We start from the raw sequence: 26,321 nt of genomic DNA on the forward strand, positions 1-26,321 counted from the left end.
CAGGGCGTCTTCCCTATTACTGGAATGAAGAGGAAGAAGGGACAGCGTAACACTTTCATGCCTACAGCTTGAGAACAATTTTTATACCTTCATCATGATGCTCATTTTGCTATTCCTTTCTTTAACTCTTTGTATTTGTATCTATTTCCTTATGTTTTATGGGCCTGAAGCTTAATTTGCCTCAAAATCTTTTAAAATATTGAGATTCTTCTGTTTCTAAAATTTATAGCCACAATATCCCTTGTGCCATTTGCCCAGGTTAATTAGTTAGGGGGCAGTTCACACCTTCTTTTCCATGTGATTTACAGGGCAGTTCACACCTTTTTCTGTGTGATCCCCATTGTGGGATTTACAGAATGTGGCTTTGCAAACAGTGTGCCATGGATCTTTGCATATTCTTATTAGAGTCAGAGGCTCCTAATGGTTCTGAAACATATTTTCCTTCATAATAAATTTCAAACACTTCGTTTCCAGTGCCAGGAAGATTGGAATTTTTATATTTTTTTATAAATGGACAAATTCTTTTTTTTTTCTTTTTCTTTTTCTTTTTTTTTTTCCTCGAGATGAAGTCTTGCTCTGTCACCCAGGCTGGAGTGCAATGGCACAATCTTGGGTCACTGCACCCTCCGCCTCCTGGGTTCAAGGTACACTCCTGCTTCAGCCTCCTGAGTAGCTGGGCTTACAGGTGTGTGGCTAACCTTTTGTATTGACAAATTCCTTAAATAGCGTTTTATAGAATGGGATTGCAGATACAATTAGATTTAGGAAAATCTCCAAAATTTTGTACAACTCATTATAATGAGCAGTATAATGAACATTGTGATAAAAAAGCTTGGACCAACTAGAGGTCTAATTGTCCTTTGACCCAATAACTTAGTGAATGATACAGTGTTTCTTTGCAGCAGCTCTTCATCATCTTTACAACAGGTACTGTACTTGGATCATCAGTAGTTGTAATAGTTGCAATAAACTTATACTAAAATATAATATACTATGTAAATTTAGATATAAAATGCTACATAAAACAAGATTTTTATGAATCATTAAAATATACATTGTTAACTGAAAGGAGGTCATTTTCTTCTCTTTAAGAGAGCTAGGTAATACTACCAAACAGTATATAAATGAGCATGGCTTATTTAAAGAAAATACAGTGGAGCAGGCAGCTCAGAAACATAAATCCAATTACTAAGTCAGATAAGAATTTTGTCATCATTTTACAGGATATCACAAACTGATGAATTTCTGAGAGACCTCAATCAATTAATTTTTAAAAGATGTTGGATTTGTACAGGGCTTTATATTTTTCAAAATATTTTATTTTATTTGAATGTAAGCTTTCTATTCTAACCCTTTCCTGGGTTTTTCTCTTGAAGACATTAGCTGTACACTCAGAATGTACAGCATTCTGAAACTGTCAAAGAACAGACAATATTCCAGTATACACAAAACTTCCCATCTGCAATTTTTAGTTCAAAGACCCATGGAGCTTTGGAGGTGGGATAATGTACCCACCATAGCTTTTGTTGCTTTTTGTGTTAGTCAATGGCTTCTATTTCTCTTTCCTTTAATCTCTAGTTATATTAGGTACCATCTTAGTTGCAGATACATGCGGACAAAACAAGAACAAAGGTATGAGATAAAAGTTTATTTGAGCTACAAGTTTATAGCAAATACGAATGCAAGTTGATTAGGGAGCCTGTGGTGAGACTTATAGGGAGAGTCTCATAAAAATATATCATCTTGATACTTTCGTCTTTGAAACTGTGCTAGAATGCCTTCATTACCGATTATTCCTTTCAATATTGATGACTTTGACCAATAATCTCACTGTTTCCCGCCTCCCAACACCACCCATTCCCCTTGCGTCCTTTCGAAAAGCACTAAAGGCAAAGGTGATATTTAGGTCCTCTAAGAGTCAATGTGGGTGAAAATGAAATACTTCTTCAGAGCACAGTCAGGATGATTACCCAGCCGCTTTGATAAATTTACCGACATCTGTTACAGAGTCATTTCTGCTGCACAAATCTGCCATTAACAAACAGTAAGGACTTTAATTAACTGAAGATACCAAGGAGTGATACTCTGATAAAATGGCACCATCTGGAAAGAAAGATGTAAAATTTTCTCCTCAGCTGTGTTGATTGGGGATTATATTAAAATGTGTCTTGATCACAAATGATTCCCCTGCTGTTGTAGGGTTCTTTATTAGTAGCATACTAGCAAAGGCTTTATGGCTTGAAATACTTTGCTCAGGTGTGCCGCAGCATTAAAATGTAAATTTTCTGAACTTCGGATTTTTCCTTTGGCCTTTCGTTGATGCCCCATTAGTGCTCATTAACTTTTCCTGCTCCACAAAGAATGATGTTGATCAACTTTGAGCTTCAAGAAGAGGTCAGCCAGAACCTAGCAGTGCCTAAACCCTTGGCAATTGTTCTTAACAAGCCTATTTGGAAATTTAATGTAAATCAGGATCGTCTCTCTAGAAGAATGCACATGTGTACATAATCACAGAATTTTGGATATGATTTCAGGGCCTCCTAGACTCTCAGGAGGCATGCATCCCAGGTTAAGTATCTCTTCTTCAGACATACTTATTTGTCTCTCTCATACATACAGCATTACATTCCTTCTGGCAGCCTACCCCATTCAGCTGCTTCATTTGACCAGATTTTCAAAGCTTTTCAGGAAACATGAACTTTGAGTTTAGAAAACTAAACTTGTTCCAATTTGGTTCAGTCTGATGGGTCCCAATTGAGTATTTTTACCCCTGACCTCAAAGAGTGATAAATTAAATCAGTTGCAAGTCGTTAAGTCTTGGCTTCCACTCATCTAAGGTCTAAAGGGGAAGAAGGGATGCTTGAACTGGATTCTAAGGGGAGGTACATCTAGAGGACTCTATCACAAGCTTCTTAGCAAGGAAGCAATGCTTGCTACCATTTAAGTTCACAGAAGCTTAGTTAGTATAATTAATTGTTGAAAATATGTATAATTGTTGAAAATATGCTGTTTGGCAATAATGTGTGACCATCATGAATTACATGGCCTAAAATTACACATTCTACTTCTAAGGGCATTTGAGAGAAGGCTTTAGAAAGCAGTCTGCACATGCTAGAAGAACATGACACCCTCCCATGGGTAGCAGTTGTTCCCTATGACATATTTTTTTAATTGGGGGCTGGATTGGGAACTCAACAAGAGAATGTTGCTATATAATCCACTGTGATCTGAAAAAACATGCACAAAAATGGGAGTTAAGAAATAAAGATGTTCACCAGCTCAATTGTTGAATAATTATTATTTTCATAAGTTCACTTGGGTAATCTCTAGTTCCAGTTTTCCATTTCTAAGAAGAGAATGCTAATGTAACTCGGAAATTAGGTAATTAAGAGAAAGCTTATGACTGCCCAAAAATATGTAGCTTTTGCTACATATGGCTTTTTCCCAATTTTATTTACATCAGTCTGAATAAAGCCTTGCATTTATCAAGTGGCAGAAAAGACATACATAATACACTTTTTAACTTAACAAAAGACCTATATTATGCTGTTCTAAAATAATTTTATTTACCTTTTTAACCAAATCAAAGGCACCCAATGCCACAAAGATATTTTCAGCTAATGCTAGTGTCTTCAAGTCAGAGAGCATTTGTAAAATTGTGTATTTTTAACAGTATAATTTTTTTCTTTTTTAATTAATTTTTTAAAACTATTATTATACTTTAAGTTCTGAGATAGATGTGCAGAACGTGCAGGTGTGTTACATAGGTATACACATGCCATGGTGGTTTGCTGCACCCATCAACCAGTCATCTACATTAGGTATTTCTCCTAATGCCATCCCTCCCCTAACCTCCCCACCCCCAACAGACCCCAGTGTGTGATGTTCCCCTCCCTGTGTCCATGTGTTCTCATTGTTCAACTCCCACTTATGAGTGAGAACATGTGGTATTTGGTTTTCTGTTCTTGTGTTAGTTTGCTGAGAATGATGGTTTCAGTATAATTTTTATCCCACTCCTGATACAGTGCCAAACAACCTATTGTTTTTCTAATTATCTTAAATCAGACTCTGAAATCCAAGTCACCAGGATGTTGAATAAATAAAGCTTCAATCATACCCATTATTGTCTTTCCTTGCCTTATTTTTCCACCCTGGGAACTAGGGTTGTGTTAAAATTTCATAGAGAGGATTCTCAGGTCTTCAACTCACACTTGGCTGAAATGATTAATGTCCAAGCCACATACTATCCTGATGACGGATGGTTTTGTTGCCTCTGTGCCAAGACCACTAGGGTATTTGGGCCTACATCCAACCTTGGAGCCCAGAGGCGCAGGGGCTGACCTCAGAATTGTACCAAGCCACCATTCTCCTCCACATCCTGTAACCTCCCAGGGGCATTTCAAGCACCGCTATTCCAAGGTCCTGCCAAAGCTTCCATGACTTGCTAGTCTTGGAGAGTATGTTTTCTTACCCTGATGTCAGCAACTTTGCTCTGTATCCCTCAAGGCACTTTTTTTATTTTTGTCTCCCCCTGTATCCCAAATAAATTCACCCTCCCTGAGCCTTTATAAATACAGTGTTGAGGTGTCTTTCTTGAGAGTTTTTTATTACTAATTCACTCTAATACATGTTTTTATTTGCTTGCTCTGACAGTTTTACATAGTTGTCGGTTGCTTCTTGTAATGAAAGAGACCAGATGTTTCAGCATTCTCATTTTATTTTTCTCCCAATTCGAAAAAAATATGCTTTTTATTTCATTGTGACCCTTTTGAGAAAATTCTGTAGCAGGCATCAATATAAAGCAAGATTCTCAATGTTAAGTCCTAGGGATTATAAGCAGGCATTTTCAGACCTTGGCATTCTAACGTACTATCTAGAGAGATGTTAACTTACTTTTCAACTCCCAGCAGCATTGTTTTGTAAATTATCTTCCTTTCAACTGCTCTAAACACTTTGCCACTTTAACCTTTTTTTTCTTTTTGGTTCATTGTAAATCCTTCATTTATTTACATCTTATTCTTTTCAATATTCCTTCACTTGCTTTAGGCAAATGTGTTTTGAGTTTCTTCAGATTAAGAAAGAATTATGCTATCAGTTGCCGGTGTTCCTTAGCCTGTCCCAGGGAGGGGTGGTCTGCAAGGTGGATTTCCACACATTCTACAGTATTACCTCCACTCTATCTCCTCTCTGACTTGACTCTTAATATTGTATTCCAAAAAACTATAGAGAGAAGGAAGATCAAGATAAATTATCCAGAGTCTAGAATTAAAGAAAGTTGGTCCTGGTGTAGCAGCTCCTTCTCAGTCCTGTTTTGAGCTTTTTGACTGATTGCTTTCATTCCTGTTCTGCCATCTCAGTGTCCATATGGAAGTGATTGTTTGCTTTAATTATAAAAGAAAATAACCCAAAAGAAATAGCAACTAAGTAAAACAGCAAAAAAAAAAGTTTTCTTTGATGAGAGAAGGTAGGTGATTTAAAAGATTAGTCTATCAGCAGAAAACAAGCTCTGTGTTACATATGAACTGGGGACTATGTCTTCCTAGAAGTTATAAAAAGGATCATTACAGAATTGTTTACACAATTCCTCCCACCTTTCATCCAATTTAAAGTAAGTACCTGTCATAAGCATTGCATAGAAAATCATTACTCACACCTGTTAAAGTTTTAGGTAAACAAGGGGAGATACCAGCCTCAGGGTCAACTGGTCTAGGATAGAAGGGCTTTCTATTAATACAAACACAAACAAGATCAAAGACATTTTTTTCTCTAGTCATCACTATAAACATTGATTGACATATATCTAGCCACCATTTTCAACATTCTTAACATTTTGGGGGTTTTTATATTATGTACTAAAATGAGTGCAAATTAAAAAACAAGTGAACTCTTCCATTTAAATAGATGGAGAATAAATATATTATTGTAAAAATTAAGAAAAGAAATATACATACCCATCTGGTTATATATTCATATTTCAAGGTGTTAATGGCAGAGTCAGCAAATGAATTATTCATATGGTTAATCAAGTAAGTATTGAAATAAGAGAGAGAATTACCTTATTCCATTCAAGGCATAGACACTTCCAAAATGTTATAATATAACGGAATATATTAATGCCTATAAAAGTTTATTTAACATTAGTTAGCACCCACTCTTTTTTTCAGATATAGAACCTACTTCAGGACCTTCAATGCTTAGTTCTAACATCCTTTATTGTTTTGTAAAATTTCTGGCTCACAGAGCATTCCAGTGAGGCAACCTCAGAAGGTAAATAAGCCCCTCATTTTGGACATCATAAGGCTTTTCAGATCAGAGGAGCAATGCATGGTGAAAGGGTATTAGCCATGCAGGCTGAGGGGTAGATGTCCAGGACAGACTGCAAGAAGCAGGAAATGTGTGTGCCTAATTAAGGGATTTCTCCTTCTGTCATTTCCCTATAATCTACTGCTAGCATGGAAATATAAACTGGGGTCTTCCAAAGGTATATTTGAAAGCACATGGTCTTTGGAGTCAAATCCTGATTTATAACCTACCCAGCATGTAATTGAGGGCAAGTCACTTAAAATTTTTTGAGACTCAATTTCCTCATTTGTAACATATTATGAAATCATAAAATTGGATAACATGAGAGTCTATCTTTCAAGGCTGTCGAGAGGATAATAAAAATGTATTCAAAGTCCTCAGAACGTGATCAATGCTTAATAAATGCTAGATGTTACACAAGCTTTCTTTTTAAAAATTTCAGCCTTGCCTTTCATGTAAGTCAATTACCAACTTTGTTAGACAATATCTTCTTCATCTTTAATTTTCAGCTCAAAATAGCCATGTAACTTTGAGAAATGTCCTTAACCTTTATATGATTCTATTTCTTCACATGTGAAATAACAGGAATAATATCCTGAGTAAGGATAGTGCTCTGCAAGGCCATGTCCTAATAGGATGCTATCCATTTTGTCCTTGATCACAATTAAAGCAAAGTACAGGCATATGCATCAACGTGCTTCATAGTGCAGAATAGTGCCGTTGTCAGATGCGTGGATTCTGGGGCCAGACAACCTACATTACTACTCACAGTTCATCCACTCAACATGGCTGAGTGATCTTGGGCAGGTCATTTAGCTGTTTTATGCCCCAGTTTCTTACTTTTCTAGACTCCCTTTATACCATTTAATTTTCCAATGGCATTATACAGAAAATCTTTTGTCCTCAAATGTCTCATCTATTCTAGTGGTACTGCACTCTTCACATGTAGTAAATAGTTTTAATGAAAACATTAGATTGTTTTACCAAAAGCTAGCTAAACATCAGCATTTTATCCTCTGAACCCAATCAAATTAAAAAAAAGTTTCTTCAGTGTCACTTCTTTTTGTTTGTAGAGATATAAAATTATTATAACACATGTTGACTAGAAATTTGGGACATTGTCACAAACAATTTATTAATGTTATTAATTTTATTAAAACAGAGAAGATAGTATGAAAGCAACATGTCCATTAATCAAAACACCCTCCATGTTTACTTGGTAGTTGTACTTTTCATGAGTGAACCTGATGGCTCATGACCTGTAATGCCTATACAAACATTTCCACATTTATGAAAGGTTTGGAAGAGCTCTCTTTCAATGTTAAGGCTCAACTATAGTTAACAGAAAAAAAATGTAATTCTATCAATATTTTTAACTTAATGACAAGATAGGGATTTGAACTACATGGCTACTAGCAGCTTTTCTAATGCAAGAGCCAATGATTTCTGTGTGTCTCTTGAGAAGTTTATTTAAAAATGGCAGCATTTGAAATTACCTCTAGAGATGTGACTAATGTGAGTCTAAAGGTTTTGTCTTAAGATGTTGAATTCCTATAAAATATTTTAAATACAAAGATTAAAATGATGCAAATTTTAAAGCTTCCCTTCTCTTTAGTAAATGTTTGCTCACTATTCCTCACCCCAGGTATGAGTTCACTCCAGAACTTGAATCCAGTTGCTAGTGAATATGGATGGAAAGAGAGTTCTAGTCTAGGGTAGTGAGCTGCCCAGCCCAGGAGAAACTTAATATGCAAGGGGAGCTCACGGATACCTCCCACCTCCACTGCCGCTTACATTCATGATACCTCATTTCTATGACACAATTTCTAAGTAGGTTTCACCCTAAAGTTTTATTTTTTATGCCATTACTTAAATGTTTATCATTTTATCCCACTGATAATGGAACACAAATAGAAACTTTTTATAATGAAGATACAATCCCAACTCAGAGTAATTATTTATAGATTGGAGAAAGTCTTCACATATTTTGTTATTATGTGGATAAGTTCACAATCATCAGGAAGATGCAGAGAAAAATCAAAACATGTTACATCCAAAATTGATTTTAGCATCTTTTTTAAACAAAGTCATATTGCTCTTCTGTGCTTAATATATATGTATAGAGAAATAAAAGCTGGTAACATAATTAGTTTTTTCTACCTTTATAATAAATGTGTTTTTGGCTGGGCGTGGTAGCTCACGCCTCTAATCCCAGCAGGTTGGGAGGTGGAGGTAGGTGGATCACCTAAGGTCAGGAGTTTGAGACCAGTCTGACCCATATGGTGAAACCCCGTCTCTACTAAAAATACAAAAATTAGCCAGGCATGGTGGTGCACACCTGTAGTCCCAGCTACTCAGGAGGCTGAGACAGGAGAATTGCTTGAACTCGGGAGGCAGAGGTTGCAGTGAGCTGAGATTGTGCCACTGCACTCCAGCCTGGGTGACAGAGTGAGACTCCATCTCAAAAATAAATAAATAAATAAAAATAAAAAATAAATGTGTTTTCTGTTAAGTATTGGAGCGCCAAGTAAGTGAGAACCTGTCACTTTTCCAAAAAATTATTTTCATATCTGTTTCATAGCATGATTACTTGATAATAACTAATTAAAGTAAATCTTATTACTTATAAGGTAGATTTCAAACATAGGTTTATGGGGGTTTTAATAACTATGACAGTGATATCTTGAGCTTTTAAGATTATTTTCATACCATCCATTAATTTCCAAAGAGAGAAACTAATTCACACTACATTCAGAATCTAGATAAAATCTAACCCAACATTTGAAACTCTAACCCAGAGTTTTTTGCCTTAAAAAAAAAAATCTCCTGTGTTAAGGAAACCACTCCCAGTCTTAACAATAAAACCCAGATTCTGCAGATTGTCAATAATAGGAAAGTCTCACATGAGACTCATAGCTCCAATTCTCTTTCCCTGTGTTCCTTGAGAGTTCCTTTCAGGAGATATGTTTCCATTAGCTGTTTGCTTTCATCACCACAATTACTTCACAGGGCTTTCTGCTTTCATAATTGATCAATATAGCTTTCCTGATTATAGCCAATAGAACGTCTGATACAAGGCTGGATTCTTCAAAAGACCCAGGGAAAGCAAAGGATAACAACAAGGAACTGAATCATCTGGCCGTGAAATAACCACCTACTCTCCAGGGTCACCTGCCTCAATTACACCGTGACCCCATTTCTTCCTCAGTGTGGTTGAGGACCTATCTTAGAACTTGTTACCTAGGAGACTCTTCTAACACTTTCACATTCCTCAAAGCTTAGACATATGTCTGTCAACCAGAAAACAGTTTCTTTTTTCACCCCTTGAGAGCCTTCTTCTGAGTTTATTTTCTTTTTCAAGGAGGTATCTTATTCCAGGATGAAGGAAGTACCTCGTTCCAAGATGAGTTAGGAGCATGACTATTGCTCATCATTGGATGACAATCAGAAATAGTCTTATTCTTTATGAAAACCACAACAGAATAGTAACTACCTTAGTATACCTCAGTGCACCCAGCATTCACATAGGAGGTGTGCACGGGAGCAACAGGGAAGCAGTTCATTTGAATTTCTCCATAAACTGCTTTACTTTGATTATCTAAACCAATGGAGCTATAATAATGGGGGGTGGAGGGAAAAGGCCTAACTACCTGAGTAGGAATCATGAGACAAAACTTTGTAGTAAAATAAAATAATAACCAAATGGAGAATCTCATTGTGTTTTTTAGGCCTGACTCAGATGGTCAACATCTATGTGAATTTGAGTAAGGGACATTTTGTCTGATGGTGACAGTGTCCTCAGTTGTAAAATTCCTACAGTCTTTTTCATATGTATGAGTTACAGTATAATTCTTCAAAGTGAAAACTGCCTAAATAATTATAAGCCCTACTTTTTGTTACTTATGAAAAAATAATTTTATTTGATTTTTATATTTTCTTCCCCCCACTGCCAGCTTTATTAAGGTATAATTGACAAAGAAAGATTGTCTGTATTTATGGCATAAAACCTGATGTTTTGATATTGTAAATATTGTGAAATGATTACCACACTCAAGCTAATTAGCATATCCATCAACTTAGTTATATAAATATATATATATTTATTTTATATATATATATATATATATATATTTGTAGTTAGAACATGTATTAGTCCATTTTCATGCTGCTGATAAAGACATACCCGAGACTGGGCAATTTACAAAACAAAAAGGTTTATTGGACTTACAGTTTCACGTGGCTGGGGAGGCCTCACAATTACAGCAGAAGGTGAAAGGCATGTCTCAAATGGCAGTGGCAAGAGAGAGAATGAGAGCCAAGAGAAATAGGTTTCCCCTTATCAAACCATCAGATCTCATGAGACTTATTCACTACCATGAGAACAGCATGGGGGAAACCGCCCCCATGATCCAACCATCTCCCACCAGTTTCCTCCCACAACATGTGGGAATTATGGGAATACAATTCAAGATGAGATTTGGGTAGGGATACAGAGCCAAACCATATCATTCCACCCATTACCCCTCCCAAATCTCATGTCCTCATATTTCAAAACCAATCATGCTTTTCCAAAAGTCCCCCAAAGTCTTAACTCATTTCAGCATTAACTCAAAAGTCCACAGTCCAAAGTCTCATCTGAGACAAGGCAAGTCCCTTCCACCTATAAGCCTGTAAAATCAAAAGCAAGTTAGTTACTTTCTAGATACAATGGGGGTACAGTAATTGGGTAACTACAACTGATCCAAGTGGAAGGAATTGGCCAAAACAAAGGGACTACAGAGTACCCCATGCAAGTCCAAAATCCAGCAGGGCAGTCAAATCTTAAAGCTCCAAAATGATCTCCTTTGACTACATGTCTTATATCCAGGGCATGCTGATGTAAGAGGTAGGTTCCCAGGGTCTTGGGCAGCTCCACCCCTATGGCTTTTCAGGGTACAGCCTCCTTTCCAGCTGCTTTCACAAGCTGGTGTTGAGTGTCTATGGCTTTTCCAGGCAAATGGTGCAAGCTGTCAGTGGACCTACCATTCTAGGGTCTGGAAGACAGATTCTTCTCATAGCTCTTCTCATAGCTCCACTAGGAGGTACCCCAGTAGGGACTCTATGTGGGGGCTCCAACCCCACATTTCCCTTCCACATTGCCCTAGCAGAGGTTCTCCATGAGAGCCCGACCCCTGCAACAACCTTCTGCCTGAGCATCCAGGCATTTCCATACATCTTCTGAAATCTAGGCGGAGGTTCCCAAACCCCATTTCTTGACTTCTTTGCACTTGCAAGCTCAACACTACATGGAAGCTGCCAAGGCTTGGGTTTCACCATCTGAAGCCATGGCCCGAGCTCTACATTGGCACCTTTCAGTCACAGCTGGAGCAGCTGGGACCAAGGGCACCAAGTTCCTGGGCTGCACACAGCCCAGGGACCCTGGACCCAGCCCCCGAAACCATTTTCTCCCAGGCCTCCAGGACTGTGATGGGAGGGGCTGCCATGAAGACCTCTGACATAACTTGGAGACATTTTCCCCATTTTTTTTGGAAATAACATTTGGCTTCTCATTACCTATGCAAATTTCTGCATCTTGAATTTCTCCTCAGAAAATTGGTTTTTCTTTTCTATCACATTGTCAGGCTGCAAATCTTCTGAACTTTTATGCTTTACTTTCCTTGTAAAACTGAATGCCTTTAACAACACCCAAGTCACCTCTTGAATGCTTTGCTGCTTAGAAATTTCTTCTGCTAGATACCCTAAATCATCTCTCTCGAGTTCAAAATTCCACAAATCTCTAGGGCAGGGGCAAAATGACACCAGTCTCTTTGCTAAAGCATAACAAGAGTCACCTTTGCTCCAGCTCCCAACAAGTTCCTCATTTCCATCTGAGACCACCTCAGCCTGGATCTCATTGTCCATATGGCTATCAGACTTTTGGCTAAAGCCATTCAACGAGTCTGTAGGAAGTTCAAAACTTTCCCATATTTTCCTGTCTTCTTCTGAGCCCTCCAAACTGTTCCAGCCTCTGCCTGTTACCCAGTTCCAAAGTCGCTTCCACATTTTCGGGTATCTTTTCAGCCACACCCCACTCTACTGTTACCAGTTTACTGTATTAGTCCATTTTCCCGCTGCTGATAAAGACATACCCGAGACTAGGCAGTTTACAAAAGAAAGAGGTTTATTGGACTTATGGCTTCACGTGGCTGGGGAGGCCTCACAATCATGGTGGAAGGTGAAAGGCATGTCTCACATAGCGGCAGCAGGAAAGAATGAGAGCCAAGTAAAACAGGTTTCCCCTTATCAAACCATCAGATCTTGTGAGACTTATTCACTACCACGAGAACAGCATGGGGGAAACCACCCCCACAATCCAACTATCTCCACCAGGTCCCTCCCACAATACGTGGGAATTATGGGAGTACAATTCAAGATGAGATTTGGGTGGAGACACAGAGCCGAACCATATCAGAACATTTAAGATCTACTTTCTTAGCACACTTCAAGTACACACTAGAGTGTTTTCAATATAGTCATCATGCTGTACATTAGGTCTCCAGAACATATTCATCCTGCCTAACTGAAACTTTGCACCCTTTGATCAACATCTCACAATTTCCACTACTCCCCAGCTCCTGGCAACCACCATTCTATTCTCTGTTTCTATGAGTTTGATTCCACATATAATTGAGATCATGCAATATCTTCCTTTCTGTGCCTGGCTTATTTTACTTAGCATAATGCCCCCAAGTTTCATTCATGTTTTCACAAATGACAACATTTCCTTCTTTTTTAAGGCTAAGTTTTCAACATTATATATACAATAAAGAAAGTTTCCTCAAGAAAGAAAACTTTTTTTGTTATTTTACCTAGTTTCTATTCCTTTTGGATCTTTTTCTTTCAAAATTAAAGCAAATAACTATGATCGTATGGTCATTTGGTATACATATATGTATAACACATTTTTTATATCCATCAGTAGACACTGAGGTTGATTTTATATCTTGGCTATTGTAAATAATGCTGCAATAAACATGGGAGTGCACATATCCATTCTAGACACTGATTTCATTTAATTGGATATATACCCAGAAGTGAGATTGCTGGGCCAAATGGTAATTCTATTTTTAATTTTTTAAGAACCTCCATACTGTTTTCTGTAATGGCTGTACCAATTTACATTCCAACCCATGGTACAAAGGGTTATTTTTCTCAGCATCTTCCCTAATACTTATTATCTTTTGTCTTTTTGATAATAGACATTCTAATATGTGTGAAGTAATAGATAACTCATTGTGGTTTTGATTTACATTTCTTCGATTATTAGTGATGTTGAATATCTTTTCATATATCTGTTGGCCATTTGTATATCTTCCTTTGAGAAGTGCCTATTCAAGTAGTCCTTTATTCATTTTTAAAATTGAGTCATTTGTTTTCTCTTTATTAAGTTGAGTCCCTTATATATTTTGTACATTAGCTCCTTATCAAATGTTTGCAAATTTTTCTCCCATTCTGTAGATTTTCTCCAGTCTGTTGATTGTTTCATTTGCTACAGGGAAACTTTTTAGTTTGATATAATTCCATTTATCTATTTTGCTTTTGTCAGCTGTGCTTTATAAGGAGTGATATCCAAAAAAATTATTGCCCAGACCAATGTCAAAATGCTTTTTTCACATGTTTTCTTCTAGTAGTTTTACAGTTTATGTTCAATTCTATAATCCATTTCAAGGAATTTTTGTATGTGATGTGAGTTAAGGGTCCAATTTCATTTTTCTGCATATGGATATCCATGTTTTTGTGCCCATGATATCCTTAAATGAGAAGTAAGTGCTGGGTGCAAATTAGGGGAAGACATCATACAATTTGTGAAACCTTACTGAATTATGTATTTGATAAATAATAAAAAGTGGAACTTTTTCCACATAATTCATTTTATTAGGACAAAGAGTTTGACATCTGATTGTATTATGAAAACTAAGTGTAAAAAGTACAGTGAAGGTAATCCTTTCTATGTAGACTTTAACTGGGGTATTTAATACAAAAGGTTGGTCTTGTATCCCAGATCCTGGGGTCTAGTTTAGGATCTGTCCCAGTTGTCACTGCTTTGTTTTGATGAAATTCTTAAAGTTAGCATAATCTGTATCTGATATTCCAACCATCTTAACTTTTAAAATCCAAGTCCCTATCACTCTTTAGATTTGATCTAAGAAAATGTTATAATATTGACCACTTACTAGAAGATACTGATATCACGATAGAGTGATATTGAGTTTTCCCAAGTCTTATTTCATAAGCCAAGGCCTTTTTAAAAATAAAGATTATTTAATTTAGAATAGAGCTTGGCACATAGAAAATATGCAGATGGTTTAAATGACATTATATCAAGAAGTTGCAACTTTGGCATAAATTTGTATGGCAGAGAAGGACAAAAAGGGAATGACAAAAAATAACCAAGTAGAATGAATGCAGAAGTAGAATAATCTCTCTAATAATGCAGATAAGGGAACCCCCAGGTGAGTTCACACTGGCTTCACCTGGTTCCACAAAGACCGGTTTATAGACCAGAGGTTCTCAAGGACTGAGCCCTATCTGGGACCCCTGCCCACCTGCAGGGGGTGAAATCAACTCCTCAGAGGCCTGTCCACCCGCACCACAGAAAATACTTAAAATCGTCTCTCCAGCTCACACAAAACCATCACACAAGCTAACATTAAAAATAATTATACCCACTAAGTCATCAGTCTATAATTAGTGTTTTTTTCTTCAGAAACGTGGTGAAGAAGGCAAAGCATTTGACTTCTGAGGTCAAATAGGTTCTTGTCATTCTCTTGACCACTTTAGCGTAATTTGAGACCATGTAAATTAGGAAAGAAATGTTCACTACCACAGCAGAGAGTGATTGATCATCAAAAGGGCCTCAGTTAGGTGTCACCTGGTCCTTTTAAATGCGTCCCTCTGCTCCTGATATTGCTGACCACAACAGTCAGGACTTTAGTGAGAAGTTGAAAACTTGTTTTAGATAATATATATTTTCATTGGAGAGAAATAGGGCTCCAATTTCAAATTTCTTCTCTACACTGGGTTCTCTTCCTTCCCAGTGAAATAATTCTCTTTTATTCTCTATATCCAGTTAACGTTTATTGATTCCCTGTTGTGAGTAGATATGTCTATTGCATCTGCTATTGCCTGTGACCACTTCCTCATTCTTTGTCTTTCCTTCTCTCCCAAGATGTCACAGCAACACTCTTCACAACAGATTGCCGTTATATTGCTTTGTTTTGTTTTAAAGAGAAACGTCATAGGGCTTATGGAGGGAGGTAGTTTTCAAAAGATATAACTTTTTTGAGAGCCATAGCTTAGCCAGTTTGAAAAGTTGTACAGCTGCAAAAGCTGTATGGAAACTCCTATAAATTAAATTTTTACACATCCTTCCTCTATCCTTTGCTTTATGAATAAATATTGGTATATGCTGATGGCCATATGCCTTTATATTGTGTTATTACTTAGAATTGCCTGGCAGCAAAAATCATGGAGTTCATTTAAAAATCAATGTAATGCCAAATTTATAAAATTTAGTGCAGACTGTCATATAATGACAACTCTTTAGATTCTCAGTTTACATCTCATTTCCACATCCAATATCTGATTGCAATCTCATTTGACAGTTAAGAAAATTGAAACATAGAGAGGAAAGTGATTTACCCAAGGTTGCTCAGTTGGGGAAATGGCTGGATCTGGCTGACTCCCATTCCAGTAATTTTTCCACCTTTGTTGCTGATTCTTGGTGGTAGTTAGGTTTTCCTTGTTTTTCTAATTCTCTGTTGAAATGTACAATGGTAGCAAAAAGAAAAATGAGTAAAAGAAAAATGTATTTAGTACAAATTTATTAACATACCATAAGAAAGCTCTTCTATACTGCAAATTTGTATTTTTGAAAAATAGACTGGCCAGGTGCGGTGGCTCATGCCTGTAATCCCAGCACTTTGGGAGGCTGAGGCGGGCAGATCACCTGAGGTCAGGAGTTCAAGACCAGCCTGGCCAACTTGGTGAAACCCCATGTCTACTTGAAATACAAAAAATTAGCTGGGCGTGGTGGTACGCACCTGTAATCCCAGTTACTCGGGAGGCTGAGGCAGGAGAATCACTTGAACCCAGGAGGCAGAGGCTGCAGTGAGCTGACATCGTGCCATTGCACTCCATCATGATTGAAAATTTCCTGAGACCTCCCCAGAAGCCAAGTAGATGCCAGCATCATGCTTCCTGTACGGCCTATGGAACCATGAGCCAATTAAACCTCTTTTCTTTATAAATTACTAGTTTCAGGTATTTCTTTGTAGCAATGCGAGAACAGACTATTACAACAATTGTGAAAAGCAGTTTGGCATTTTTTTCAAAGAACTCAAAAGCAGAATTGCCATTTGCCCTGGCAATTCCATTATTAGGTATGTACCCAAAGGAATATAAATTGTTCTATTATAAAGACACATGCATGCATATGTTCATCACAGCACCATTCACAATAGCATGGATATGGAATCAACCTAAATGCCTATCAGCAGTAGACTGGATAAAGACAATGTGATACATACATACTGTGGAATACTATGCAGTCATGAAAAAGAGCAGGATCACATCCTTTGCAGCAACACAGATGGAGCTGGAGGCCATTATCCTTAGCAAACTAACACAGGAACAGAAAACCAAATACCACATGCTCTCACTTATAAGTGAGAGCTAAACACTGAGTACATATGGACACAAAGAAGGGAACAACAGACACTAGGCCCTACTTGAGGCTGGAAGGAGGGAGCAGGGTAAGGATCTAACTGACTATTGGGTTTTATACTTATTACTTAGATGGTGAAATAATCTGTACACCAAGCCCCCATGAGATGCAATTTATCTATATAACAAATGCATATATACCCTGAATCTAAAGTAAAAGTTAAAAAATACATATTTGCTCAATAGTAATAATTTTAAAAGAGACTGAAATACAGTGACACTGAGGAGTTTGGCTAACACTCACCATGATGAATTGTTCTTCAACTTTGGAGAGACCAAGAGTAGACTTTTTTTGATCCACTGCTTCATTTTTCCAGAAATTTGTTCTAAAAGGTCTTAAAAAAGAAATCTGTAGAAAACTTAGTAGCATAAAAGTATAATTTTACTAACAAAACTGGAAACAAATATGTACTTTCAAATAGAGAAATGTATAAATAAGCTATATCATATTAATTTAAAATATTTTGCAGGCATTGAAAATAACAAATATATAAATATTTTATTTGTCTATTTTACAGTTTACCTAGTGTTTTATATCTCATTTAAAGATTGGAGGTACAACTAAAAATGCTTATAAAATATTCTAAGTGAAATAATAAATAAAAAATGTATATGTGTACTATGACTACAACCACATAAAGCTCTACCCATGAAAAAGATTGGAATAGACATATATATGCATTTATATTCATATGCAGGTAAATAGGCATACTGTACAGGTGATGAGCCTATAGATATAATTTTCTTTAATATTAAGATCTTTAAATTTAAATAGAAACTTGTTTTCATAGTAAATTCCTAAATTTTGAACAGATATGATCATTACGTTGAGTAGATTAAACTTGAAAAAGTTGTCTTCTTAATGATAACATATAATCCATAAGACAAATATTTTACTATTATTATGATTATTCTGAGATAGGGTCTCACTCTGTTTCCCAGGCTGGGGTGCAGTGGCACAGTCATAGCTCACTGCAGCCTCAAACTCCTGGGCTCAAGTAATCTCCCTGCCTCAGTCTCTTGGACAGCCTCTAGACTACAAGCACATGGCATCATGCCTGTTTAATTTTTTAAAAATACTTTGTAGAAAAAATATCTCACTGTGTTGCCCATGCCCATGCTGGTCTTGGACTCTTGGCCTCAAATGATCCTCCTGCCTCGTCCTCTTAAAATGATGGGGTTACAGGTATGAGTCACCATGCCCAGCCTATTATTTTTATATGAAGGCATAAATTATTAATTTTTTAATTAGTTTTTAAATCAACCAAGATGAGATTTAGAATAATATCAGATCATTACATAAAAATATAATTTAGGTGTATTCAAACTTTATTCAGCTTCCAAAAATAACTCGAATGATAACACTATTACTTAAAGAGTAGGAATAATGCAAACCTATGCATTATTTTGGTTACAGGCCAAAGCGAAGATAAAACATATGTAAAAGTATTTACTGTTTTTCTTAAGAGAGTTTATTGGTGATTGTTGTTTTGAAAATATTACAGGTTTATATTTTTGAGCTCTAGCTCAATAGTATCTGAGGAGCATAGTGAACTTACAATTTCATTTGTGTTGACTTTCTAGTTAAAGAATAAATCCCTTTCCTTTGAAATGTAGCCTTGGTCAGCTGATGGAGCATTTTCTCCATATATGCATGTTAGGAAAATTTGTTTCAATTTAAAAAGGAAACACATGGCTATGACTTAACTATTAAAAAGTGAAATGTTCAATTAATGTGGATTTGGTCTTTCTGTTTTTCCAGTCCCTCAAATGTTATTTCAACAAACCAAAAAATGAGTTTTTTGGTTTGTTGAAATAACAAACCAAATAACAAGCCAAGTCCAAATATTCTGACTTGGCTTAAGACTTTTGTGCTGAAGACTCTGTTCCCAAGAAGATTTACATTGAGGACCCAAGTCTGCCATTTAATTAACAGGCTGTTTGTTGATTTCTTGTAATGCTGAATTATTTACCAGCTGTCTCCTGGTTATGTCAGAAAGATGTAAAGAATGCAAACAAAAATACAAAATAAGACACAGGTAACATCAGCAATGTAATCTCTCCCCATGCACCCTGCTCACCTCCAAACCAATATATGTTGCTGTTACAGAGGAGATCTCTCTGAAATACGTGTTCATGCAACACAATATTTTAGAAGACAATACATTTTCTTGATCATACATGTGTTGTTAGTTCACCATTTCTTTTTTAGAAATAAGCAGTTACCCCAAGACTATGATTATACATTCATGAATGTATTATGCTCTTTATATTTATACCATATCTATTCTCTTTATATTTGAATTTATATGCACTTGCTCCTGCACACACATACACACACCTGCCATATTCCCTGTATCACTTTTTTATATTTTAAAAATCAGTGAAGTCCAAAGTACACTATATTTCCTTATATTATAGGACAGCAGCATCTAGAATTTTGTTATGTGTACCCATGAATATTTTTAATGCAGATGATGAGAGTAATGGTAATAACATGTCTGAAAACTGGAATTTTTTCACTTGGCAGTGATTATAAGCATGACAAATTAACTTTGTCAAAAAAACTTCAAAAATGATCTCTTTATTATGAACTAGAGTTACTATTTTCTGCTCTTTCTTTCTTTCTTTCCTTCCTTCTTTCACTACATTGTAGTAGTGGCCATTGAAGAACATTTAGAAAATGCTAAAAGATCAGAAAGAAAATAAAATTGCTGTAATTTCACTACCTAGAGATAAAAACTATTAACATCATAGTGCATATTTTCAGATTTTTCTATATATTGAATATTTATTACAAAATTCGGATCATATTGTACCTACTATTTTCTAATATGCCTTACTCAGTAATGTATCATAAAATATCTTATGAAAATCCTAACACAGTCCTCTAATTTCAGTGTGATTGCATCATGGCATATGAATATACTTTTAGTCATTTAAGAACTAGGGGCATTGACACTAATGCTTTTGAAGGCTTTTCCCTCAAGGATTCAGTTGGTGGCAACAGGAGCACCAATGTTCCCATGTGTCCCAGGCTTTCTGAAGGAACCCCACATGCAGTGTTTTGATGGAACAGCAGCTGACACTGTTATCACTCAGCTCAGGCAGCTGGGTGCCTGAGGGCCTTTCCTGGCCATGAGCCACCTGACTAAAATGGCTTATGCTTTAGGTGTGTGTGTTTGGGGAGGGGGTACAATTATACTACGAGGCTGTATTTTGACAAAGATTTCAAATATGTTCAATGACCTTGTTTGTACATCTTAAAGCTTTAAGTGCCCAGGAATTCCTTCTCCGGAGTTCACAAAGGGATAATCTTCAGGTTCCTTCCTTCCTTCCTGCCTTTCTCCCTTCTTCCCTAGCTCCCTCCCTTCCCTCCCCTCCCCTCCCCTCCCCTTTCTTCCCTTTCTTTCTTCTTTTTCTTTTTCTGAAACCACTTAAATGTATTTAGGAAACTTTGAATGAAAGTAAGACATTGGTTCTTTACATCTTAAGATAGAAAAGGCATTAAGAAGTACATCTTTCCCATCTAGAAAAATATTACCATCCAGCAAAAAAACACAATTATATTTAGAAATACAGTAAATTATGACTGCTCAGAAGGTGTTTAATTTCATGGTTTTAACTCTATAGCTGTGCCACATTTTCTAGAATAGGTTAAGAGACCTCATACAGATTATCTTTAAACATCTACATAAGATGGTTGCTAAAAGCTTTCACATTTTGGATTACTTTCATTTTTATGCCTAAATGACTTTCAGTGTTTCGACAGTATTTGCTCTTCACAGCTTATAAGTATTATCATTTGGAGTTGTTTCTAAGGCCTAAATAAAAAAGCCACATGGAAGGGAGTGGCAGGGGAAATGTGTTAGAAAAATACTTGTCTTCATTAGTTCACACACTAGAAACAACCCCATCCGACTCATCCATGAACCCAGTACTACCCTAAGTGGAAATACTACAAGGATTTCAGGCCAGACCTTCATGAGTATCTGTGTGAAATGAAACATTGCCTCTAGGAAACATCAGGAAGGTATCATTACTGGGCAAGGTAGCATGAACCAAATAGAAAACCAAAACATCTTATTTATTCTCCTCACTGATTGCAAATGTCGACCAATTCTTCTGGATGCTTTCTTCTTCATACTTTTAAACTTCAGTGCAAGTGTCTTTTCCATATATGATTCTAAAATCCGGATCTTAAAATCCAAGAGGAAAAAAAAACAACATAGAGGTTCAGAGACAAAGGGAGGAAGCAATGTGCTCTTATTTTCTGCCATGGTAATTACACTAGGGCAATACTAGCAGTAGTGTTTGAGAAACTAAATACCCGGCCAGGTTGGTAGCTCATGCCTGTAATCCTAGCACTTTGGGAAGCCAAGATGGTTGGATCACCTCAGGTCAGGAGTTCAAGACCAGCCTTGCCAACATGGAGAAACCCTGTCTCTACTAAAAATATAAAAATTAGCCAGGTGTGATGGCATGTGCCTGTAATCCCAGCTACTAGGGAGGCTGAGGCAAGAGAATCACTTGAACCTGGGAGGCGGAGGTTGCAGTGAGCCAAGATCATGCCACTGCACTCCAGCCTGGGCAACAGAGCAAGACTTCATCTCAAAAAAACGAAACGAAACAAAACAAAAAAAAAGAAAAGAAAAGAAAAGAAATACCTTAGTGGGGCAGTATAATAATTTGAAGAAAGTGCCTAAAACTCTGTTTCCACTTTTATTGTTTTTCAATTGAGATATCTGAATAATTGAAAACTGACTTCAGATAAGATTTAAAACATTTACAGCTGGGAATGACACTTACTTAAAGGGTAGAACACAGACACATACATGTAGCCCTGCAGTTCAGACTCTGCCTCTAGCTTTCCAATAAAATTGGTTGAAAGAACCTGCCAATTTATTAACATCCTCAAACCCAGGAGAAAATTATGGCTACTGTACTATATTCCACACTACAGTTGAAAAAAAGTGTTCTGCTACATCGAAGGTCAAGAGATTGCCTTGCTTCCTTAAGAGCATTGTTAAAGGTCTGATAATTTAAGAAAATTAAGATAAAATAATGCATTATGTGTATGTTACAAAAACCAGAGTAATAGTCTACTATACAGAAAGACTTCTGAACTTGCTTCTTCAATTGAAAAACAAGCAGGACCCAATTTAAAAAATAAGTATTGGCACTAGTAATAAAAACTGATTTTTCCTTTCTGCATCCTGCAATGAATTCATTGTTAAAAAAAATCAAAACTCATTTTTCTAAAAATCTCTGGACTCTTTGTAAAAGTTAACTTTCCTAGTCAATATCCTCAAGAAGTTTTCCGGGTGACTTGTATTCTTGTCTTCCCTATTCTCACTATATAAAAACCACACTTTATTTCCTTTCTTTTTCTGAGAAAGCTGTAAGGTAACTAATTTACTCAGACTATGGAACTCTAGACCATGCAGATCTTGATTGTAATTCTAACTTCACCATTGACCTTTAACAGTGTACAGGTTAATTATGCTTATCTGTAAAATAAGAATAACAGGTATCTCCTAGGATTATTATGAGAGCTAACTGAGATAATATACATAAAGTTCCCAGCTCCCAGCCCTGTGTGTCTCATAAGACGGGTGGCCACATTTTCAGTTCCTTTCCTGTTCTCCACCTGTCTCCCTCCCTCTGTTCCCCGCCCCTCTCCACAACTCGACCTCTAAAAAATGCTTAAGTAATTGTAGAGAAATTAGCATGAATGCCCAGATGCATTTGTTACTGAATAACTCAGCAGTGAACTTGGCATTCCATAGCTAACCTTTCCCCTTCATTAATCCCCTTCTCCATCCCCCTCAAACACAGGAGTACAACAGGATGCCAGGCGAACTATGTAACCAACCATGCACGTGAGCATTTTCTCCCAGAATTTTGACTAGTCTTGTTCTGCCTCAAACACTAGACGGGGCTCATGCTGCTCACAATTAACTGACTCTGGCCATGTGGTGGCTGCCCTCAAGATCTGCCACAAAGAGAACAGCAGTTCAATAAAATCTCGAACTCTATTTATAGCCCACTTGAAACAAGCAGTTTCCTTGAAGCCCAAGAAGCCCTCCTTGAGAATGCAGCAAGTAATTTACTAGTCCCAGTACTCACTGGGGAAATAAGAGGGAGGAAATGCAGCAAGTGCATTTTTTCAAGTACTGCACATATAGAAAGCATTTTGTCCTACACTCTGTCCCATTTCACCCTGATGTCACCAGCCAAGGAAGTAGACAAAACAGGCACTAGTAAGAAATCTCTGTTTTATAGATTACAAAACTGACACCTAGGAGGTTAAATTGCTAATGAACAGTGGTGGTTGGAGAAGGAGGTTAAAAAAATTGTCTAAAGGGTGAGAATAATTTCTTGCTCATGCAATCAATCTAAAATTCAGTTAAGTCATTATTTACCTATTAAAAAATATATACAACTAAGAAGAAATGTTTTGTAAGGCACTTGCAAGATTAAAAATTGTTCCTTCTCCACTTCTAAGAAGATCAAAATATGAGAAATAAAAACTTAGACTCTACAGGGAAATATTTATTAACACGTTTGTATCTATTTATAATATATACATTCAGAGTGATTATATTTTTGGCAAGAAATGCCTTCTTGAAGACCCCCAAAATTAAAGTGTGCATGCATAATCGAGACTGATTTTGAAAGATGATAGGAATTTTTATGAGAAATTTAAATTGATTCTGTCAGCTCTGAAATAAATACATCTTTACTATATTTTAATATGGAAGTTTGCATAATTCCAGTATGTATGCAAAATGCAAGACTTTATTATATGAGTTTATGGGCCAGAAATCATTTTGCTCTTAGAATTAATTTGATTTTGGCAAATACTTCAATTTTCTAAGATCCTTCTTTAAGCCCTGTTACCTGGAAACCTGAAAAAAATAAACAACTTTTGGGCTTGAGAGGGATGTCTGGGCAATTAGAATAGCTACACTGAAGTCTGCCCGTGTGTGTGTGTGTGTGTGTGTGTGTGTGTGTGTGTGTGTGTGTGTGTGTGTGTGTTTAGAGAGAGAGAGAGATTATTGCTTAAACAGTGCCCCTGGGTTGGTTGCTTGGCTTGGTGCCATTTGGGATTCTCAGATTTTATTGTCCCAGCTCTGATTTACGGAGTTCAGAATCTCGAAAGGCAAGGTGTCTGGAGTTTAGGGTCTTTCCATGACAGCCCCTCCTCTTCCCTGTACACTCCTTTTGCTTGTGGTCACCTTGTGGTGACCTTGCAGGACTCAGCGTTTTTACCTGAGCTCAGTAGCTGGGGAGCCCACTAGTGCTGGGGAGCGAGCCGTGGTTTCCATTCCTGGGTGATGGAGTCATGGGAGAAACTGCAGTGAGCAAACACAGTAGGACCTGAGTTGGGCTCGAATGTGCTTTAAGCGACTCAGGACAGAGCAGCTGCTCTGTCTCCCAGCTTGCAAGTGCAGCCTGCATTTGTCACTGACCACTGAAGTGTATGTTTGTGCAAGGTGAGAGCTGGGTGCTTTGTTCTTAATTTGGAGACAAATTGCCAGGTATTGTTGTTGATTGTGTTTAATAATTTGGGGATATTTATATCACCACAAATTCAGGACCTAGACTGTGTGCGGTTTTATTTATACCCTTGTTTTCTGTCATGATCCATTCAGCTCTCCACGGTGTCTACATTGTGGCAACAGATTGGACATAGTGCTGTTCTTCCACGCTGAAATGTGATCGTTATAGTGCAGTGTTTCTTGGATTCTTTCGTTAATCGCTGCTGCCACATGATGTATCTGTTCATATACAGAATTCCAGTGCTAATTTGAAGGAATATAAAAACTGCTTCCGATAAAAATCTAAATTGCTATATTTGTTTAGTGCTTGCTGTGGTGTATTCTTTGCTTTACCCACATTTTAGTGGTTGAAACTTTGAGAGAGTAGAGTGCCTTAGGATTTGATCTGTTGACAAAAGCAGTGGGAGTTTTTTGTGTAATTGCTTGTCAAAATGAAAACAACTACTTGGCCATTTGTGTGTGTCTGCGTGTGTGTTTTTTTTTTTTTAAAAAAAGCCAAAAGAAAACCAAATAATACGTGCTATCTTTTGATGTACTTACAATTAACTTAATCAACCTATAAAGCTTTTGTTATCCGCATATTTGAATTTTGTAACCTTACATTCTGTGTACACAGGACAATACAACTGCTATGTAAGCTTGTAGAAGTACATGGGAACGCAGAGTATTACTCACTATGAGTCTGTTACAATAGGAATTAAAATCATGCTCTTGGGTTAACAGACCTTAATCGTGGGTCAGTTTTGTATGTTGGCTACTTAAGTGAACCCATAAACTATAAAAAGGAGATACTTTTTAAATATCTAAATAAATATATAGGAGGTTTGTATTTCTGAGACTCGTATTTGAGAAAAGGGAAAAGTATAGGAATTTGGTACTGTGTAAGTAGAAGAAGAAAAAGAATATCAGATTTTAAAATGAAAAAGAAGATAATACATTGAAATGAGGAATAATTATGAGGGAATACCAAAAAATTACTCTAACTGCTCAAATTTTTATGTCTAATGAAAGAACAATAGCATACTTAAAAAATTTAGAGTCAGCAGAAATGAAGCCAAGAACAAGAATTCTTAATAAAACATGTCAACCTGTGGAATGTACTTGTCAGTTTTAATTAATTTGGATTCTGTTGCTGAGATTAATAAAATGAGAAGGAAAAAAGGAAATTTAAATTTTTTATTTAAAATTGATATCCATTTTGATAGACTTTAAAAACTAATGAAGTAAAATAAATTTTATTAAAAGGCAGTGAACATTAAAATTATTCAAAACAATTAACAAAGAACATATAATATTAAAATTATCTGTCCCACTTTTAAAGTATGTCAGTTTTGAAAGAAGATTCTAATACTGTAAACTAGATCGTCACCTGTTCCTACATGCATGTGGAATGCCAAGTTCCTGGGACACTCTCTTCATGGTTCCTTGCTTTCAGACTCTATGTAAGAGCACTGTGGTATGCTGAGCAGAAACACCTGACTCTAACACTGTAATGCTTTCTATGCGAGTTAAGAAAAAGTTTCATTTCACAGATGTGGAACTTGAGGTGTACAAAGAATTGATGATTGGCATTTCTATATGGGAACCTGTACTATATTGGCTTTTCATGATGTAAAATTTGGCTGCTTCTTGAAAAGAGTTTAACATGACTATCACCATGACTGAAAAGATGTACAGGAAGGCCTTGTG

General features: G+C 36.7%; 1 protein-coding gene across 7 annotated transcripts in view, besides 1 other annotated feature; it reads left to right on the forward strand.

Annotated features, from left to right (window-relative positions):
* The window catches only part of ARHGAP24 (Rho GTPase activating protein 24), a 527,517-nt gene that overhangs the window by 328,260 nt on the left and 172,936 nt on the right, over positions 1 to 26,321 (forward strand). Inside the window, exon 1 of one of the 7 annotated variants that reach the window (XM_011532300.3) lies at positions 1 to 24,611. This exon is cut by the window's left edge and continues 24,504 nt beyond it. The exons of 5 other annotated variants lie outside the window; for them this stretch is intronic. Coding sequence is in view for 1 of the 2 variants with exons in the window: in NM_001287805.2 (NP_001274734.1) it covers positions 24,554 to 24,566 (13 nt within the window). In the remaining variant the exon portion in view is untranslated. The remainder of the gene's footprint in view (positions 24,612 to 26,321) is intronic. One more of the 7 variants, NM_001287805.2, reaches the window with a different exon arrangement.
* Positions 22,578 to 23,120: an enhancer, noted in NCBI's record as "OCT4-NANOG hESC enhancer chr4:86747140-86747682 (GRCh37/hg19 assembly coordinates)". NCBI's record gives its function as "activates a minimal SCP1, AML or CMV promoter by ChIP-STARR-seq in naive H9 embryonic stem cells {active_cell/tissue: H9 hESC(naive)}" and the evidence as "EXISTENCE:reporter gene assay evidence [ECO:0000049][PMID:30033119]".

Source organism: Homo sapiens, chromosome 4 (assembly GCF_000001405.40).
Source record: "Homo sapiens chromosome 4, GRCh38.p14 Primary Assembly".
Lineage (NCBI taxonomy): Eukaryota > Metazoa > Chordata > Mammalia > Primates > Hominidae > Homo > Homo sapiens.